At 44.2% G+C, this 21,856-nt stretch overlaps 1 protein-coding gene across 8 annotated transcripts in view; it reads right to left on the reverse strand.

Moving 5' to 3' along the window:
• PI4KA (phosphatidylinositol 4-kinase alpha) overlaps positions 1-21,856 on the reverse strand; it is a 151,121-nt gene that overhangs the window by 123,090 nt on the left and 6,175 nt on the right. For all 8 annotated transcript variants that reach the window (NM_001362863.2, NM_001362862.2, XM_005261635.2 and 5 more), the window contains exons 2-3: positions 7,835-7,951; positions 3,782-3,875 (exon numbers count right to left, since the gene is read on the reverse strand). In NM_001362863.2, coding sequence (NP_001349792.1) covers positions 3,782-3,875; positions 7,835-7,951 — 211 coding nt within the window. The remainder of the gene's footprint in view (positions 1-3,781; positions 3,876-7,834; positions 7,952-21,856) is intronic.

Below are 21,856 nucleotides of genomic sequence, written 5' to 3' on the forward strand. Positions count from 1 at the left end.
CTTTTTTTGAGACAGAGTTTCATTCCTGTTGCCCAGGCTGGAGTGCAGTGATGCGACTGTGGCTCACTGTAACCTCCACCTCCTGGGTTCAAGTGATTCTCCTGCCTCAGCCTCCTGAGTAGCTGGGACTACAGGCATCTGCCACCATGCTCAGCTAATTTTTTGTCTTTTTAGTGGAAACGGGGTTTCACCATGTTGGCCAGCCTGGTCTCAAACTCCTGACCTCAGGTGTTCCATCCGCCTTAGACTCCCAAAGTGCTGGGATTACAGGTGTGAGCTACTGTGCCCAGCCCTTAGGTGTGTTTCTGTAGTGGTTGGTAATAATCTTTCCCTTCCATGTTTAGCATTCCCTTCAAGACCCTGTAAGGCAGGTGGTGGTAAAGAAATCCCTTAGCATGTGCTTGTCTCAAAAAGATCTTATTTCTCCTTCACTCATAAAGCTTAGTTTGACCGGATATGAAATTCTTCGTTGCAAATTCTTTTCTTTAACAATGCTGAATATGAGCCAGGCCCAGAGGCTCATGCCTGCAATCCCAGCACCTTTGTGAGGCTGAGGAGTGGGGGTCACTTGAGGCCAGGAGTTCAAGACCAGCCTAGTCAACATGGCAAAACCCTGTCTCTACTAAAAATACAAAAATTAGCTGGGCATGGTGGTGTGTGCCTGTAGTCCCCAGTTACTCAGGAGGCTGAGGCATGAGAATTGCTTGAACCTGGGAGGCGGAGGTTGTAGTGACCCAAGATCGCACCACTGCACTCCAGCCTGAGTGATGGAGTGAGACTCTTTCTCAAAACACAAACAAAAACAAAAACAAAAACAAAAACAAAAACAAAAACAAAACAAAACAAAAAGGCTGAATGTAGGCCTCCATTCTCTTCTGGCTTGTAGAGTTTCTGCTAAAAGGTCTGCTGTTAGCCTGGTGGGACTCCCTTTGAAGGTGACCTGTCCCTTCTCTCTAGCTGCCTTTAACATTTTTTTTCTTTCATTTAGACCTTGGAGAATCTGATGACTATGTGCCTTGGGGATGGTCTTCTTGTGTAGTATTTCATAGGGGTTCTCTGCATTTCCTGAATTTGAATTTTGGCCTCTCTAGTGAGATTGGGAAAATACTCATGGATAATATCCTGAAATACGTTTTCCAAGTTGCTTATTTTCTCTCTCCCTATCTTTCAGGGACACCAATGAGTTGTATATTTGGTCTCTACATAATCCCATATTTCTCAGAGGTGTTCATTCTTTATTTTCTTTATTTTTGTCTGAGTTATTTTGGAGAGCTGGTCTTTGAGCTCTGGGATTCTTTCCTCAGTTTGGTCAATTCTGTTGTTTATTTTGAAATTCTTTTTTTTTTTTTTTTTGAGATGGAGTCTTGCTCTGTTGCCCAGGCTGGAGTGCAGTGGCGCGATCTCGGCTCACTGTTGCCTCTGCCTCCCGGGTTCAAGCGATTCTCCTGTCTCAGCCTCCCAAGTAGCTGGGATTTACAGGCGTGCGCCACCACACCCAGCCGATTTTTGTATTTTTGGTAAAGATGGGGTTTCATCACCTTGGCAAGGCTGGTCTTGAACTCCTGACCTTGTGATCCACCTGCCTTGGCCTCCCAAAGTGTTGGGATTACAGGTATGAGCCACTGCGCCCAGCCGAAATTCTTGAAGTGAGTTTTTCAGCTCCATCAGCTCAGTTTGGTTGTTTTCTTTTTGAGACGGAGTCTCACTCTGTTACCCAGGCTGAAGTGCAGTGGCATGATCTCAGCTCACTGCAACCTCTACCTCCCAGGTTCAAGCGATTCTCCTGCCTCAGCCACGCAAGTAGCTGGGATTATAGGAACCTGCCACCACACCTGGCTAATTTTTTGTATTTTTAGTAGAGATGGGGTTTCACCATGTTGGCCAAGCTGGTCTCGAACTCCTGACCTCAAGTGATCTACCCACCTTGGCCTCCCAAAGTGCAGAGATTACAGGTGTGAGCCACTGTGCCCGGCCGGTTTTTTCTTAAAATGGCCATTTCATCTTACATCTCCTATATCGTTTTATTGTATCCTTTACAGTCTTTGGATTGGGTTTCAACTTTCTCCTGAATGTTGATGATCTTCGTTCCTATCCATATTCTGAATTCTATTTCTGTCATTTTGGCTTGGTTAAGAACCACTGCTGGGGAACTAGTGCAGTCAACTTAGCAGCAAGAAGACACTGGCTTTTGGAGATGCCAGAGTTCCTGTGCTGGCTCTTTCTTATCTTCATTGGCTAATGTTCTTTCAATCTTTGAAGCTGCTGTCCTTTGGATGGATTTTTTTGGGGGTGGTGCTTTTATCTTCTTTGATGTCTTTGGGGGTTTGATTGGGTTCAGTCAACTGGCTTCATTTCTGACAGATTTTTGGGGGACTAAGGCTCAGCTCAGCACTCCTGGGCTATGTCCTCCAACACTGGGGGGCTGGTATTGGGCACTCAGCTTTGTTCTCTGGCTCTCTGAGGTTGAGAACATGCAGCACTGGAGGGGTTGAGGTGTTCTTGGGCCACAGCCACAACACTCTGAAGGGTAGTGCCAGCCAAAGCACTCTGTCGGATAGTGGCAGCCTATTTGCTTGTGACAGCAGCACCAGCAGTGCAATGGGGTGCATGCTCATTGGCTGAGGCAGGGTGCTAGGAGGCCTGGGGCTGCCTGCCTCTATGTGGGCATTGGCAGTAGCAGTGGTGCACGGCCGCTGGGGTCTGTGTGCACATTTGCACCAATGGCAGTGGTAGCACAGAGTTAGAGCTGGTGACCTCTGTGCATGCGTTCATGCCTGTGGCGGTGGTGTTGCGGGGCCCAGAATGTTAATGAGAACAGCAAAACCCATCTTTAGCAGACTGGGACATGTTGCCCAGACTAGTTTTGGTTTGTTTTTGTTTTTTTTTTTTTTTTTTTTTGAGACGGAGTCTCGTGCTGTCGCCCAGGCTGGAGTGCAGTAGCATATCTCGGCTCACTGCAACCTCTGCCTCCTGGGTTCAAGCAATTCTTCTGCCTCAGCCTCCCGAGTAGCTGGGACTACAGGCACACACCACCATGCCCGGCTAATTTTTGTACTTTTAGTAGAGATAGAGTTTCACCATATTGGCCAGGCTGGTCTTGAACTCCTGACCTCGTGATACACCCGCCTCGGCCTCCCAAAGTGCTGGGATTACAGGTATGAGCCACCACGCCCGGCCGACCCAGACTAGTCTTAAACTCCTGAGTTCAAACAATCTGCCCACCTCGGCCTCCCAGAGTGCTAGAATTACAGGAGTGAGCCACCATACCAGCCAATTTATTCCGTTTCTAAAGGTGCAAAGTTTAACTGGAACTTAGAAACAAAGTGATGAAACTATTTACAGTGAACATTGCTGTTGGGTCTCCAACCTCCATCTCACCCTTTTTGAGCAGCAGCAATATAATCTGGAAAACTGACCTCACTCCAGGAGTGAGCCTATAAATTCTAAGGGTAACAGTGACTGATTTGGGGACGGGCAGATGACCCAATTCTGGCCAATGAGACATGAGAAAAGGTTCTTGAAGGTCTCAACGTTCTTGCTCACTCTCAGAAGAATGCAATGGAAAGCTGGCCTACCCAGGCCTACCTTCTCCCCAACTCATCCATGGGCTGTGGCCAACACATGGATGTAAGCTCAGCCCACAATGCTGCAGGCAGTTGTTTCCCAGCCAGGAGGGAGACAAGATGCATCTGATGTGTCAGTATGAATAAACACTTGATCCTACAGACACTGAACATGTGTATTTTCTCTTATATTCAGGGAAAACATTATATACAATTACCTCTGCCTTTCCGAGCTGTGCTTTCTTCTACCCAATACACTTTTGGAAGACCTTTGAGAAGTCGAAGAAGGTAAGGAACCACACAATCTTTGTGCTAAAAAATAATAAGAAGAATAATAAATTAGATTTAATAAAATAAGTGATTGGCAGCTTTTTAGCCCAGATTAAGCCCAAAGCAAAGCATATCCACATCCTAATCATCTCAGAGATTCTCCAGGGATAATGTAAAGTGCATGTAAATTCACATGGCATCACTCCATTCCTGTTTTCACACTGCAGAGTCCAGAGGCTGTCCTATCAACCTGTACCACAGGAGCCTAAGGAAGGGTTCGCACCTGCCTTCTGGAGCTGAGGGTCCAGCCTGCTCAGGCCTCTTCTGGGGGCTGGGCCTCTCCAGGAGGTACACGTGTGTACACACTCAAAGCTGTCTTCAGTGAGAATGGTTTAGAGCCCCAAAACCCATCCATGAGCCCCAGAATAAGATCCTGGGGATGGAGAGAAGCTCACAATGCGGGCATCTCAACTGGGTGATGCTTTTTTCTGTTCATGTCCCTTGTCCATTTTCCTTGTGTTTTTTTTTTTTAATTTTCTACTTCATGTTTCCTCTTGTTCTTCTCAAGTTGAGCATCAGACTTTATAGCCAACTTTAGCCCAGTGAAAAATTTTACTTTCCTCTAATTTCTGAACTAGCCAATCAACACCAATATATAGCTTCGTAATCTTCCATCATTGGCTTTTGGAGCTATTTCCCTATTTACAGATGTTCCAGTTAAGGATTAGATGTGCTCCAGAGAAGAAGTGTGCTCTAGAGAAGAGGAGTACTATTTGATGTTTTGAAATGCTGACAAACCACATGGTAGTTTTAAAAACATGGCTGCAGCCAGGCATAGTGGCTCATAGTGGCTCACACCCGTAATCCCAGCACTTTGGGAGACCCAGGCAGGTGAATCACTTGAGCTCAGGAATTTGAGACCCAGCTGGCCAACATGGCAAAACCCTGTCTCTACTAAAAATACAAGTATTAGCTGGGTGCAGTGGGACGTGCCTGTAGTCCCAGCTACTTGGGAGGCTGGGGTGGGAGGATCGCTTGAGCATGGGAGGTGAAGACTGCAGTAAGTCAAGATTGTGCCACTGCACTCCAGCCTGCGCAAGAGAGTGAAATCCTGTCTCGAAAAAAATTAAAACATAAAAGCATGGCAGAAGGTGGCCGGGTGCGGTGGCTCACACCTGTAATCCCAGCACTTTGGGAGGCTGAGGCAGGCGGATCACGAGGTCAGGAGATCGAGACCATCCTGGCCAATATGGTGAAACCCCTTCTCTACTAAAAATACAAAAAATTAGCCAGGCATGGTGGTGGGCACCTGTAGTCTCAGCTACTTGGGAGGCTGAGGCATGATAATGGCATAAGTAAACCCAGGAGGCGGAGCTTGCAGTGAGCCTAGATGGCACCACTGCACTCCAGCCTGGGCGACAGAGAGAGACTCCATTTCAAAAAAACAAAACAAAACAAAACAAAACAAAACAAAAAACAACAAAAAAACATGGCAGAAGGCATGCAGCTTCCACCTGGCTCTTTTTCAGGACATTTGCCCTGGAACCTAGACACTATGCTGTGATAAGACCCATGAATGAGACTTCAGGTGATTCCTGCCCCCAGCTTTTGAGCCACCCCAACCGATGCTAAATGGAGTCAGTTGAGCCCTGTCTAAATTGCAGATTCACGAATCAAACAAAATGATGTATTAAGCACTAAGTCTGGGGGGACTTTGTTATACCATAATAGATAACTAAAAACAAAGAACTTTATCAAAAACAAAAGTTTTTTCTCTAAACCATAAAAAGGAACTGGCTAAGACATCTGTCGAGGATCCTAGTGTACAGACAGGAACAAAACTCCATAAGGCCTGAACCACATGGCCTCCTGCAGAGGAAGTGGCTCCAGGTGGCTCTTTCCTATATAAACTGTGATGACATTAGCAGCACAGGGTGAGTAAAACCACCTCAGCTCCTCTGGCCACAGCTGCTACCATGGCAGCCCACTGCTGGGACCTGAAGGAGGTCAATGCACAGCCCATCCTGGAGGGAAGCAAGGAATATAAGCACCAGGTAAAAACCAAGGTGGTCCCTAGGGCTTTCTCAGGGGGCTGGCAAAGCATGCTAGGCTTCTCTCCTAGTATATGCAAGGCCGGTGGGCTGCCCTGGACATACAGGCAAACTCTATGGTCCAAGGGACAACATCACATGCCACCTGGGACCCTGCTAGTCCTTACCCAGAACCTGAATGACACTTGTGCTCATCTATTTGTTGTCATCTTAAGAAGTCTAATACAAGTACAACACTTTCAGGACTTACAGGTAAATCTATCAAGAAACGTGTTTGCCAAAGATATTATCAAGTAATCCACATTTGAACAACAATAGTTTCTTATAAATTTTTTTAAAATTATTTTTTGCCCTTTATAATTCATTTTATATTTATGTAGGATATGGTAAACAGAAAAAAAAAATGGTTTTCTTTCTTTTCACATTTATAAATAAACAGGCAAGCTGGGTATGGTGGCACATGCCTGTAATCCCAGCACTTTGGGAGGCCTAGGCACGAGGATCACTTGAGACCAGGGTTGGAGATCAACCTGGGCAACCTAGCAAGACCCTCATTTCTACAGAAAATTAAAAAATCATGCCAATGCCTATAATCCCAGCTGCTCAGGAGGCTGAGATGGGAGAATCCCTTGAGCCCAGGAGTTCAAGGCTGCATTAAATAATGACTGTGCCACTGCACTCCAGCCTAGGCGATAGAGTGACACTCTAAGAATAAATAAATAAATAGCAGAAGAAAGGCCAAAATGTAGCTTATGTATCTAATTTTGGTTTTTTATGTAACCTTGATCAGGTAACCTATTTAATTATTAAAATACTGCTCTATAATTAAAATTCTTATTTGTTTCCAATGTACAAATACTGTTAAAATATTAATGCTTATTAGAGCAAAATTTCCAGGAGATGGAAGCAACCTGTTCTAGATAAATATTCAAATATCTAACATCTTTATTTACCTAACACAGCATAATTAACTTGGAATTTAGAAATAGTATCTAGTAATGATAAAAATAAATAAATAAATAAAAGATTCAATATCCAATGATCAATCATTTGTTTCAAATAGCTTTGGTAAATATAAAAATACACATACACAACAGTCACACTATTTTTTTGTTGGAGCTACAGGGCTAGATTTTAAGTCCCTATTAAAAGGTACACTGAGGCCAGGCATGATGGCTCACACGTGGTTCACGCCTGTAATCCTAACACTTTGGGAGGCAGAGGCAGGCGGATTACCTGAGGTCAGGAGTTTGAGACCAGCCTGCCCAACATGGAGAAACCCCGTCTCTACTAAAAATACAAAAAAATTAGCCAGGAGTGGTGGCTGGTGCCTGTAATCCCAGCTACTCAGGAGGCTGAGGCAGGAGAATCACTTGAACCCTGGAGGCAGAGGTTGCAGTGAGCCGAGATTGCACCACTGCACTCCAGCCTGGGTGACAAAGCAAGACTCCATCTCAAAAAAAAAAAAAACAAGATACACTGATACATACTCTAAAAGTTTATATACATAATCGCAATTTTGAAAAAGATGATATTATATCAAAATTACCTAAAATGATTTTGTCCTTTTGGAAGGAGAAATACAATACCCCTGAGTCTGACTGATAAGCATTTTACCTGAGCTTGAAAACCAAACCTACCCTGGAAGGCACACAATTACTTCTCAAAGCATTTTAACTTACTCTGTGGCACATAATAACAAACAAACAAAAATACACTTTTTTTACAACATAATATATGCACACAATTCTAAAAAACTCAAATTTTCTAAGAAGGTTTACATTAGGAAGTTTCATTCCCACCTTGTCCTACCCTCTCCACTAACCACTTTGATTAGGTTCAAATGTATTCTTCTACTATTGCTTTAGGTAAATATAAGCAGATACAAACTTAAACGCTCACTACACCCCCTTTTACAATGAAGAAACTTTTAATTTCATGAAGACTTACCTGAAGATCAGATTCAATCAGAAAAATGCCCAATGCAATCACTGCATCTCTCCGTCTTTCATCTAACTGGAAGATCCCATGGAAATCCACTGGACACATGCAAAGAAGCTTTTGGACCTAGAAAATGAGACCCCCCCAAAAACAGCTCTACAAAATAGAAAACCACATTCAAAATAAAGCAAGCTGAGTGCAGTGTCATATGCCTGCAGTACCAGCTATTCAGGAGGCTGAGGTGGGAGGATAACTTGAGTTGGGAGTTTGAGACTAGCCTGGCCAACATAGTGAGACCCTATCTCTTAAATAAATAAAAATAAAAAATAGGCCAGGTGCAGTGGCTCACACCTGTAATCCCAACCCTTTGGGAGGCCAATACAGGTGGATCACCTGAGGTCAGGAGTTCAAGACCAGCCTGGCCAACATGGTGAAACCCCATCTCTACTAAAAATACAAAAATTAGCCAGGCGTGGTGGCGCACACCTATCGTCCCAGCTACTTGGGAGGCTGAGGCAGAAGTATCACTTGAACCCAGGAGACAGAGGTTGTAGTGAGCCAAGATCGTGCCACTGCACTCCAGCCTGGGTGACACAACAAGACTCTGTCTCAAAAACAAACAAACAAACAAAACCACTACCATAAACCCCAAAGAGTCCATGTAACCAATAAGTCATAGTTTTTTTTCAGTTAAAAGATCACAGGACATCTCCAGCTGCTGAAACAATTGTACACGTGCCCCTCAAAACACATAAACTCTGAGTAATATGAGCTGAAGGTTAAAACTGTGTATACTCAGAGGGGGTAAGACACAATGGCTAAAGTTTGCATTTTGGTGTTAGGACAGTCTAAGTGGGTGTCCCCACCCCTTGACCACGAACAGGTTACCCAAACCAACCTGCATTAACAATGCCTCACTGACTCTTTTAAAAAATCAAATGCATGGCCAGGAGCGGTGGCTCACGCCTGTAATCCCAGCACTTTGGTAGGCCGAGGCAGGCGGATCACGAGGTCAGAAGTTTGAGACCAGCTTGGCCAATACGGTGAAACCCCGTCTCTACTAGAAATACAAAATGTAGCCAGGCATGGTGGCGAGCGGCTGTAATCCCAGCTACTCAGGAGGCTGAGGCAGGAGAATTGCTTGAACCCGGAAGGCGGAGGTTGCAGAGAGCCGAGATGGCACCACTGCACTCTCCAGCCTGGGCGACAGAGCAAGACTCCGTCTCAAAAAAAAAAATCAAATGTGTGAAGCAGTTGGGACTGAGCACAGCATATAGTAAATGCTCAATAAACATTATCTATTGTTATTGGATATACTATAATAGTGGCTAGTGGAAGGCAAAAGCAGACAATGAGATTCAAAGAATGCTGATTAATGAGTCAATCACTGAAGCACAGGGAAGAACTGGCCCTATCAAAGCCTATGTACTTTGCTCTGTCCTATGCAATACTTTATCAATACCCTGCACTAAAACACAGAAGATACATTCCACTACAAACCTGGCAGATGAAACTAATGTGCTAGAAGACAGCACGAAGACTTGAAAACTCATCAAAATTGGCATAACATCATTATTTCTCCAACAATAGTGCCTGAAAGACAACTTTTGATAATGTGATCAGGGAGGGCCTCTCTAAGATGGTTCCTTAAATTGGGATCTGATCAAGAAGGAAGCCAGGACAAATCAGGAAAGGCTGCTGCTGCAGCAGCACAGTGGAAAAGAAGAAGCAAGGAGGCCCAGGAGTTCAGGTCCAGACAGAGAAGGTCCCCAGAGGGCCCCACAGGCCAGGTCAGAAGCCTGAATTGTATCCTAATAACAAACACATAGAGGCCTTAGGGCATCAAGTTTAGAACTGAAGTCTAGAAGAATCCCTCTGGCTGATACACAGAAAATGGATTTTGGAGGACAAGAGTGAAAACAGAGACAGGTGAGGAGACTCCTGCAGCAGCTGAGGAGACTCCTGCAGCAGCTGAGGCGAAGATGTTAGCATGGTAGCAATCAACGAGTAGAGACAGAAACAGACCAGTTCAGGATGTGTTTTGAAGGAAGAGTTAAGAGGACTTGATGATGGACAGGATATGGGAGAGATTACTTTAGTTGCCTCTTTACCACACTAGAAAGTATCCAGGCCAGGTGCAAGGCTCATGCCTGTAATCCCAGCACTTTGGAAGGCCGAGGCAGGAGGATCACTTGAGCCCAGGAGTTTGAGACCAGCCTGGGCAACACAGTAAGACCCTGTCCCTACAAAAAAATAACAAAATTAATCAGCTATTGTCAGAGGCGTGTGAACCAGAGCAACTCCATCCTGAATAGGGGCTGGGTAAAATGAGGCTGAGACCTACTGGGCTACATTCCCAGGCAGTTCAGGCATTCTAAGTCACAGGGTGAGACAGGAAGTCAACACAAGATACAAGTCATAAAGACCTTGCTGATAAAACAGGCTGCAGTAAAGAAGCCAGCTAAAACCCACCAAAACCAAGATGTCTGGTCTCGAACTCCTTATCTCAGGTGATACGCCCACCTCGGCCTCCCAGAGCGCTGAGATTACAGGCATGAGCCATCGCACCCTGCCACCAAGGCTTTCTTTTTTACATAAAGCATAAGAATGGATTTCCTCTCTCAGGCCAGGTGCTCTGGGTTGGGCTCTAACAATATCCCAGGATCAGAATTCAGCATCATCAACACAGTTTAGCCATACTGCCAGTGCAGCGGTCACCCCACCCAGTAGAAAGAACTGAAGGCAGCATTTTTTACCATCCTCAATTCCTCTGGACTGCCAGGGCCTCCTCTCTTTCAAATGCCCAGAGGGGCTCTGGGGTACTCTGACTTCAGACCTTCCTCCCCTATCCCCACTCAACTAAAAACATTTAAATAGAAATAATCTGTGACCATTCAGAAATTACTTTAAAAGCCAGGCATAGCTTTAAATGTGAAGTGAAGATACCAAAAAGAACAACTCAGAGATCCATGTAATGATTCCATGATTTATGCACTACACTGGCATGTCAGGCAGAATAATGGCACCTCAAAGATGTCCACACCCTCAATCCCCTGGAAGCTGTGAATATGTTACTTTACATGGCAAAAGAGACCTTCCAGATCTAATTAAATTAAGAACCTTGAAATGGAGGGATATCCTGGATTATTTAGATAGGCCCAGGGCAATCACAAAGGTCATTAAAAGGAGAAGAGAGAGGCAGAAGAGGGAGTCAGAGTGATGTGAGATGGGGGCTTGGCCAACCATTGCTCCCTTTGAAAATGAAGGAAGGGGCCAGAAATCAAGGAATGTGGGCAGCTCTAGGAGCTGTAAAAGGCTTGGAAATGATGGCTGGGTGCGGTGGCTCATACCTGTAATTCCAGCACTTTGGGAGGCTGAAGTGGGTGGATCACCTGAGGTTAGGAGTTCAAGACTAGCCTAGCCAACATTGTGAAACCCCATCTCTACTAAAAATACAAAAATTAGCCGGGCATGGTGGCAGGCCCCGTGGCAGGTGCCTGTAGTCCCAGCTACTCGGGATGCTGAGGCAGGAGAATTGCTTGAACCCGGGAGGCAGAGGTTGCAGTGAGCTGAGATTGCGCCACTGCACTCCAGCCTGGGCAACAGAGCAAGACTCCATCTCAATATATACATATTAAAAAAAAATGAAAAAGGCTTGGAAATGAGTTCTCCCCTAGAGTCTCTAAAAAGATACACAGCCCTGCCATCACCTTGATTTCAGTCCAGTGAAACACAGGTTGTGTTTCTAATCTACAGAACTGTAAAATTATAAACGTGTTATTCTAACAACAAGTCTGTGGCAATTTATTTACAGTAGTAATAGGAAACTAATGTAATTGGTCACTGGTAATTAAACAAAACTCAAAGCCTACTGGACTGCCTATCAAGAAAAGTATCAAACTGAGTAATCAGATTACAGGCAATAGGCCGGGCACCGTGGCTCACACCTGTAATCCCAGCACTTTGGGAGGTTGAGGTGGGCGGATCACATGAGGCCAGGAGTTCGAGACTATCCTGGCCAACATGGCAAAACTCCATCTCTACTAAAAATACAAAAATCAGCCAGGTGTGGTGGCCTGGGCCTATAATCCCAGCTACTCGGGAGGCTGAGGCACAAGAATTGCTTGAACCCAGGAGCCGGAGATAGCAGTGAGCCGAGATTGTGCCACTGCACTCTCCAGCCTGGGCCACAGAGCAAGACTCTGTCTCAAAAAAAAAAAAAAGGCCGGGCGCAGTGGCTCACGCCTGTAATCCCAGCACTTTGGGAGGCCGAGGTGGGCGGATCACGAGATCAGGAGATCGAGACCACAGTGAAACCCCGTCTCTACTAAAAATACAAAAAATTAGCCAGGCGTGGCGGCATGCGTCTATAGTCCCAGCTACTTGGGAGGCTGAGGCAGGAGAATGGCGTGAACCCGGGAGGCAGAGCTTGTAGTGAGCCGAGACTGCGCCACTGCACTCCAGCCTGGGCGACAGAGCGAGACTCCGTCTCAAAAAAAAAAAAAAAAAATTACAGACAATATTTAGTTCCTTCTTTATTATTTTCTGTATTTCCCATATTTTCTATAAAAAATATTGATAACTTTAGAATCAGAAAAAAATACGGCCAGGCATGGGCTTACGCTTGTAATCCCAGCAATTTGGAAGGCTGAGGCAGGAGGGCTGCTTGAGCCCAGGAGTTCAAGACCAGGCTGGGCAACATGGCAAGACCCTGTCTCTACAAAAAATTTAATAATTAGCCAGGCACGGTGGCATGCCCCTGTAGTCCTAGATGCTCGGGGATCCGAGGAGGGAAGATTGCTAGAGGATCGCTTGAGCCTAGCAGGTTAAGGCTGCAGTGAGCTGTGATCACACTACTACACTCCAGCTTGGGTGGCAAAGCAAGACCCTATCTCCAAACAAAAAAAGAAAAAGAAAAGAAATACAGAATATACCGAAGTTCATGTGCTGCACTGATATGCTTACCTGAACTGCAGGCCTAAGGATCACTGACAACTCCCAAACATATGAAGAAGTGTAGGTCTAAGGTCAGGAGAGGTTGCACAGATGCAACCAGCAAACGTTCACTTTCAGGCAGGCCATGTGTTATCCTATTCCTGTTTTACAGGTTAGGCAACTAGGTCCAGATAAGTTAAGTGCACCTGAGGCAACAGGTTCCTAACTACATCTTCCTTCTCATTTTGTCTCTTCCTACTCCAATATTTCCACTTCTGGTTCATATACCTTCAATGGTTCCCCATTGCCCAATGAACACTCAGTGCACACTCCCAGCCCCAAAACTTCTCTCATAAACCCAGGCCGCTATGTATCAATTCTCATTTCTCCCTGCCTGGCCTCTTCCATGGTTTTGACCCATCTGAAACATTTTGTCCAACCTGCCCTATCTCCCCTATAAAAATTCAACCCATCCTTCCAAGATCCATCTCAACTGTCTCAAAACTCTCAAACATTTTCCAGACCCCAGCAACTTGATGTAATATCTCCCATCATATCTCTCAATAGCTCACATAGAACTCTGTATTTCTCAAGATAATTACCTTCCTGATGTCTTACAGTTACTTGTATACTTATCCTCTCACTGCAGAGAGGCCTGTGACCTCCTCATCACTCCACTGCACCCTACACATTTCAGAACTTTAACAACTACTTAATGGGACTAAAGCGGCCAAGGTCACAGACATTTGATAAGGTGAGGAGGAAAGAAAAGAGGTACAGGGCTACTAGAAAGCAGGGTTTAACTACACTGTGATAATTGTCATATAGTCAGTACCAGGCACAGTGCTGGCATGCAGTTGACACTGAACAAGTATCTGCTGCCTTACTGAATGAATGGAGGGACGGATGGAAGAACTCTCAAATGAAGTAATATATAATGTACAGTCACTCCCTCATGAGCGTTACAATCCAGCAGGAGTTACAAAACTAATAAAAATAATACAACTAGCAAATAACACAAGTCAGAAACTAAACGACAGAGGGCCCTGAAAGCCTGGAGCAAAATGCTCTTGGAAACTGGGACTCTTATTAGAAAGACATCTGAAAACTTGAACCTGGGTCCTACAGAAACCATCACACCCAGTTCTGGTGGGTGCCATTCTCCAAATAATGACAGCTAACACATATTGAACATTTATCATGTGTTCATCTATATTATCTTATTTAATCCTCACAACAGCTCATTAGGTAGCTATTATTAATCATCCCCCTTTTACATATGATGAAACAGACACAGAGAGGTCAAAGTCCTAATGCAGGATAAAGCATTAACCCTCTAGTCTTTGAAAAAATGAAAAGAAAAATAACATCAAATGGCTTTTCAGAATCAGAATTTTACAATAAACTAGCAAGTTGTTTGTTTTTAGGGGTCTTAGGGGGAGTGGGTCATTATAAAAAGTCATTAAGCCCAAAATCTGACCACGATGGCCAGGGTTATTCCCATTTACAAAAAGGATCCAGAGGGCTTCTACCCACCACTTTCAAAAGGTTGTTAAGTCAATGGACCACAGGGAGGCAACAAATATGACTGACTTAGACTTTGATAAGAACTCTTGGCAATACTTTAACCCAAGGATATTAAAAGACAGGTATCTCAAAGATGTGAATTTTGACTGCCAAGGTAAGGAAATGCTAAACCAAGGAGAAAATAAGATTCAAGGAGAAAGTAAGTCTGGATGACTGGGCAGAAAATTGCAGATGAGAATCAACCATAACAGAGGGTATTTGTAAGGTATTTAGGTCAAAATAAAGCTACAATAATAGCATTATAAAAGTTGGATAATTAAATGATTTTTTTAAAAGAGTACTACTTGTTATTTAAAACCTCTGGGAATTGTCTTCCTGGAGAAACAAAATTCTCTGAGAACAAAAGACTAAGATTTAAGTATTAATGGTATATTTTTCTGTTAAAACCATTTGTAATTGTCTTTCTCAAATGTACCATCCCCTCAGACAAAAAATATTGAATATAAGCTGATATTTTCGAAGTGACTCAGAGCTATCATGATAAACAAAGGTGACTGTGACATGATACACATGGACCTACAAATGTAAATGGAACAGCACCTGATCCTACAAGCACCCTGGATCAGAGTTTCATTAGAGATGCGCTTTTGAGCTGAGCGCGGTGGGAAGTGCCTGTAATCCCAGCTGCTTGGGAAGCTGAGGTGGGAGTACTGCTTGAGCCTAGGAGTTAGAGGCTGCAGTAAGCTATGATCGTGCCACTGCACTCCAGCCTGGGCAACAGAGCAGAATCCTGTCTCCAAAAATACAAAATAAAAAAGATGCTCTTTGGTCATCTGTAGACAGATTCATGACCTTCTAACAAACAAATTCAGCAAGGTTACAGGACACAAGATTAAGATACGAAAATCAGCCGGGCGCTGTGGCTCACGCCTGTAATCCCAACACTTTGGGAGGCCGAGGCGGGCGGATCAGGAGGTCAGGAGATTGAGACACCATCCTGGCCAACACAGTGAAACCCTGCCTCTACTAAAAAAAAATACAAAAAAATTAGGCAGGCTTGGTGGCGGGTGCCTGTAGTCCCAGCTACTTGGGAGGCTGAGGCAGGAGAATGGCATGAACCCGGGAGGCAGAGCTTGCAGTGAGCCAAGATCGCGCCACTGCACTCCAGCCTGGGCAACAGAACAAGACTCTATCTCAAAAAAAAAAAAAAAAAAAAGAAAAGAAGAAAAGAAAATAAATTGTATTTCTACAACGCAGCAATGAGCAAATTAAGAAAACTATTCCATGGTTAATTTTATGTTATATGAACTTTATCTCAATTATTAAAAAAAAATAATAAAGAAAAACACTAACGCAGGAACAGAAAACCAAATACTGCACGTTCTCAATTATAAGTGGGAGCTGAATGATGAGAACACAGGAACACACAGTGGGGGGAACAACGCACGCTGGGGCCTGTGAGGTGGGGGAGGGAGAATATCAGGAAAAATAGCTGTCAGGCACAGTGGCCCATGCCTGTAATCCCAGCACTTTGGGAGGCCAAGGCGGGTGGATCACTTTAGGTCAGGAGTTCAAGATCAGCCTGGTCAATATGGTGAAACCCCATCTCTACTAAAAATACAAAAATTAGCCAGGCGTGGGGGCAAGCGTCTGTAGTCCCAGCTAATCAGGAGGCTGAGGCAAGAGAATCACTAGAACCTGGGAAGCAGAGATTGCAGTGAACTGAGATCACCACAGTGCATTCCAGCATGGGCAATAGTGCAGGCTCAAAAAAAAAAAAAAAAAAAAAAGGGTGGGGGGCCAGGTGCGGTGGCTCATGCCTGTAATCCCAGCACTTTGGGAAGCCGAAGTGGGTGGATCATGAGATCAGGAGTTCGAGACCAGCCTGACCAACATGATGAAACCCCGTCTCTACTAAAAATACAAAAAAATTAGCTGGGTGTGGTGCAACGCGCCTGTAATCCCAGCCACTCAGAAGGCTGAGGCAGGAGAATCACTTGAACCGAGGAGGTGGAGGTTGCAGTGAGCCGAGATCACGCCACTGCACTCCAGACTGGGCAACAGAGCAAGACTCCATCTCAAAAAAAAAAAAAAAAAGTAATAGCTAATGGATGCTGGGCTTAATACACAGGTGATGAGAAGATCTGTGCAGCAAACCACCATGGCACACATTTAACAAACCTGCACATCCTGCACATGAACCTAAAATAAAAGTTGAAGAAAAATGAATAAATAAAAATGTAAAAAGAAAAACAACTGTAATAATCCCAGCACTTTGGGAGGCCAAGGCAGGAGGATTGCTTGAACCCAGGAGTTTGAGACCAGTCTGGGCAACATAGTGAGTCTCTAAAAAAAATTTTAGAAATTAACCAGGAGGCTGGGTGCAGTGGCTCACGCCTGTAATCTCAACACTTTGGGAGGCTGAGGCGGGTGGATCTCTTGAGCCCAGGAATTCAAGACCAGCCTGGGGTACATGGTGAAACCCAAGACCAACCTGGAGTACATGGTGAAACCCAGTTTCTACAAAAACTAGCCAGGCCATGGTGGCTTGTGCCTGTAGTCCCAGCTACTTCAGAGACTGAGGTGGGAGGACTGCTTAAGCCTGGGAGGTCCAGGCTATAGTAAGCTGTGATAATACCACTGCATACCACTGCTCTCCAGCCTGAGTGATAGTGAGACCCTGTTTCAAAAAAAAAAACAAAAAAAACCAGTAGAACAATTTCATTTAAAATAGCATCAAAAAGAAAAAGTACTTATGAATAAAAACAAAAGAAGTGCAAAACTAAGAAACATTACAACATTGCTAAAAGTAAAGAAAACCTAAATAAATGGAAAGACATCCCATGTTCATAGATCAAAACAGTTACTATTGTTTAGATGGCAATACAGGCCGAGCACAGTGGCTCACGCCTATAATCCCAGAACTTTGAGGGGCCAGGGTGGGTGGATCACCTGAGGTCAAGAGTTCGAGACCAGCCTGGCCAACATGGCAAAACCCTGTCTCTGCTAAAAATACAAAAATTAGCCGGGCATGGTTGTGCACACCTGTAGTCCCAGCTACCTGGGAGGCAGAGGCAGGAGAATTGCTTGAACCCAGGAGGCGGAGGTTGCAGTGAGCTGAGATTGTGCCACTGCACTCCAGCCTGGGTGACAGAGCGAGACTCCATCTCAAAAAAAAAAAAAAAAAAAAAAAGGGACAATATAGCAATACAGTCCAAACTAACCTACAAATTCAACACCATCCCTGTCAAAACCCTAGGTGAGTTCTTTGCAGAAACTAACATGCTAACCCTAAAATTTCCATGGTAATTCAAGGGACCCAGAATAACAAAAACAATCTTGAAAAGGAAGGACAAAATTGGAGGACTCATTCTTCCCAATTTCAAAACTTACTACAAAGCTAAAGTAATCAAGACAGTATACTAGCCAACATCAGGAAAGACATACAGACCAAATAAACCCTCACACTTACAGTCAACTGATTTTTGACAAGGGTTCCAGGACCCCTCAATGGAAAAAAGAATAGTCTTTCCAAGAAATCGTGCTGAGACAACTGGATATTCACATGCAAAAGAATGAAACTGGACCCCCATCTCATATCACATAAAATCTTAACTCAAAATGGATCAAAAACTCAAATGTAAGAGCTAAACTATAAAACTGCTAACAAAAAACACAGGTGTAAGTCTTTGTGACCTTGAAATTAGACAGTGGTTTCTTAGATACAACACAAAAAGCACAAGGGACAAAAGAAAAAAAAAATGACAAAATGGACATCATCAAAATTTAAAACTTTTGTACTTCAAAGAACACCATGAAGAAAGTGAAAAAGCCCACAGAATGGGAGAAAATATTTGCAAATCATATATCTTATTAAGAAACTTTTATCTAAAATAAAGAACTATTACAACTTAATTAAAAAAATACTACAATTTAAAATTGGGCAAAGAATCTGAATAGATATATCTCCAAAGAAGATCTACAAATACCCCAAAAGAGTGGCTGTTCTAGGATAGAATAGGCTGGCTCAACATCATTAACCATCAGGCAAATGCATATCAACAACAGAATAATAAGATCCCACTTCACATCCACTAGGATGGCTATAACTGGAAAGACAGACAATACAGAGTGTTGGTGACAATGTAAAGAAAACAAGCCCTCTGTACACCGTTGGTGGGAATGTAAATGGTGTAGTAACTTTGGAAAACAGTCTGGAGTTCCTCTAAAGGTTAAACCTAGAGTTATTGTATGGCCCAGCAATTCCACATCTAGTTAAAGACCCAAGAGAAATGAAAATATGTCTACAGAAACACTTGTACGTGAATTTCCATAGCAGCGTTATTTATAATAGTCAAAATGTAGAAACAATCCAAACATCCACCTACTAATGAATGGATAAAATATGGTATATGCATACAAATATTATTTAGTAATAAAAATGAAGTAATGAGATGCTACAACATGGATGAACCTTGAAAATACGCCAAGTAAAAACCATCATGGCAGGTGCAGTGGCTCACACCTGTAATCCCAGCACTTTGGGAGGCCGAGGCAGGTGGATCACAACAAGGTCAGGAGATCAAGACCATCCGGCTAACACGATGAAACCCTGCCTCTACTAAAAATACAAAAAATTAGCCGGGCGCAGTGGCGGGCGCCTGTAGTCCCAGCTACTCGGGAGTCTGAGGCAGAAGAATGGTGTGAACCTGGGAGGCAGAGCTTGCAGTGAGCCGAGATCGCGCCACTGCACTCTAGCCTGGGCTCCAGAGCGAAACTCTGTCTCAAAAAAAAATAAAAATAAAAATAAGCCACCACAAAAAACCACATCTTATAGAATTCTATTTCTACAAAATGTTCAGAATAAATCTACAGAGACAGAAAGTAAACTAGTGGTTGTCTAGGGATGGGGCTGGTAGGGCTGCAGGGTAACAGCAAGGTTTCTTTTGAGGGCAATGAAAATGACCTAAAATTGATCATGGTGATGGATGGACAACTCTGTGAATACACTAAATATGATGAACTGTACATTTTAAATGGGTAAATTTTGTGGTATGTGAATTATATCTCAAGAAAGCACTATTGAAAAACCTAGCCTATGAAGGATCAAATCAAACCACAAGCAACTGCCGACCAGAACAAAGCCCAACATTCCCTAAAGTAACACAACAAAAATCTAAACACTCAAGCCAGGCACGGTGGCTCGCCTGTTAACACCAGCACTTTGGGAGGCCAAGGCAGGTGGATCACTTGAGGCCAGGAGTTCAAGACTAGCCTGGAACCCCGTCTCTACTAAAATACAAAAAATTAGCTGACTGTGGTGGCGCATGCTAAAGGAGTCCCCATAGGTCTCTGGGACTATAAATACTCATTTAAAAAAAAATTTTTTTTTTTGAGACGGTGTCTTGCTCTGTCACCCAGGCTGGAGTGCAGTGGCGTGATCTCAGCTCACTGCAAGCTCCGCCTCCCAGGTTCATGCCATTCTCCTGCCTCAGCCTCCCCAGTAGCTGGGACTACAGGCCACCACGCCCAGCTAATTTTTTGTATTTTTAGTAGAGACGGGGTTTCACCGTGTTAGCCAGGATGGTCTGGATTTCCTGACCTCGTGATCCGCCCGCCTCGGCCTCCCAAAGTGCTGGGATTACAGGTGTGAGCCACCGCGCCCGGCCTACTAAAATTTTTTAAAATTTTCGCTGGGTACAGTGACTCAAGCCTATAATCTCAGCACTTTGAGAGGCTGAGGTGAGTGGATCACTTGAGCCCACGGTTTGAGCTAAGCCTGGGCAAGATAGTAAGACCCCATCTCTAAAAAAATTTTTCTTTTTTTACTTAGCCAGGTACAATGTGCGTGCCTGTAGTCCCAACTACTTGGGAGGCTGAGGCAGGAGGATCCCTCAAACCAAGGAATTCAAGGTGGTAGTAAGTTATGATCATGCCACTGCACTCCAGCCTGAGTGAAAAAGCAAAACTGTCTCCAAAAAAATGTAATTTCTATTTTTAAAAATGTCTAGGCCAGGCACAGTGGCTCATGCCTATAATCCCAGCACTTTGCGAGGCCGAAGTGGGCAGACGGCTTGAGCCCTGGAATTTGAGACCAGCTTGGGCAACACAGTGAGACCCTATCTATTTTTTTTTTAATGTCTATTTATCCACCCCTCTAATACCAGGGCCTAGCACAGTGCCTGCAACACAGCAAACCCCCAAAGATTTATCATATGAACGGATGGTGCCATCTTTTGCTTTCATAATAGTATAGCCTTGGGTTTTTTTTGTTGTTGTTGTTGTTTTTTGTGTGACGGAGTCTTGCTCTGTCGCCCAGGCTGGAGTGCCGTGGTGCAATCTCAGCTCACCACACCACCTCCCGGGTTCAAGCAATTCTCCTGTCTTAGCCTCCCAAGTAGCTGGGCTTACAGGCGCACACCACCACGCCCTGCTAATTTTTGTATTTTTAGTAGAGACAGGGTTGCACCATGTTGGCCAGGCTGGTCTCGAACTCCTGACCTCAGGTGATGTGCCTGCCTCAGCCTCCCAAAGTGCTGGGATTACAGGCGTGAGCCACTGTGCCCGGCTGCGTTGGTTATCCTGAATCCAGGCTTCCAGATAAGCTTTAAACACAGAAAAACATTCAGGAAAAGAGAATGGCTTCTGCAGCAGAGACAGAGCCTCTCAGGACTCAATAAACAAATGCAAGTGAGACCTGAGGATTTCTGCCTCAACTCTGTATTTATTTGTCAGTTTACCACACAAATGAAAGTAGCGTTCTGGCCAACTTGGCAATGTTCATGAAAGGCCAAGCTTTTCTCCAGCATGCCAACATATACAACAAAAGCAAATACAAAAATAAAAATATAAATAAGCCATCCTGGCTAACACAGTGAAACCCTGTCTCTACTAAAAATACAAAAAATTAGCCGGGCGTGGTGGCGGGCGCCTGTAGTCCCAGCTACTCGGGAGGCTGAAGCAGGAGAATGGCATGAACCCAGGAGGCAGAGCTTGCAGTGAGCAGAGATCACGCCACTGCACTCCAGCCTGGGTGACAGAGCAAGACTCCATCTCAAAAAGTAAATAAATAAATAAACAAATAAGCAATCAGGAAGATAAAATGCATAAATTTCAGCAACTGACGTCAATGATGGAAATAGCTGCTGGTGGGAAAGATTAGAGGCAACCACACCTCCAATGAGTGCAAACTGCAAACACAGACAGCAGAAAAGAGAATCTGCAGTAAGGAGTGAGAAATAGAACATTTCTGCCCCCTGGGGAGACAAACAGCTGGTGACACAGGAGGGCACTGAGGGAAGGCTACGTGAAGGCAGAGGGAGAAAGTGGCCTCGGAAGAAATCAACATTGCTGACACCTTCATCTTGAACTTCTAACTTCCAGAATGAGGAGGAAATATATCTGTGTTGTTTAAGCCAGTCTGTGGTACTTTGTTATGGCAGCCTAGCAAACTAATAGTTAATATGGCATGGTTACAGGTAAAGATTTTTTCTTCTTCCAATTTCTTCTTAAAATATTTTCTAGTTGATTTAATAACAATGATTCTGGCACCGCGTATACCCTCCGCTG

The sequence above is a fragment of the Homo sapiens genome, chromosome 22 (assembly GCF_000001405.40).
Source record: "Homo sapiens chromosome 22, GRCh38.p14 Primary Assembly".
In the NCBI taxonomy this organism is placed as follows: Eukaryota; Metazoa; Chordata; class Mammalia; order Primates; family Hominidae; genus Homo; species Homo sapiens.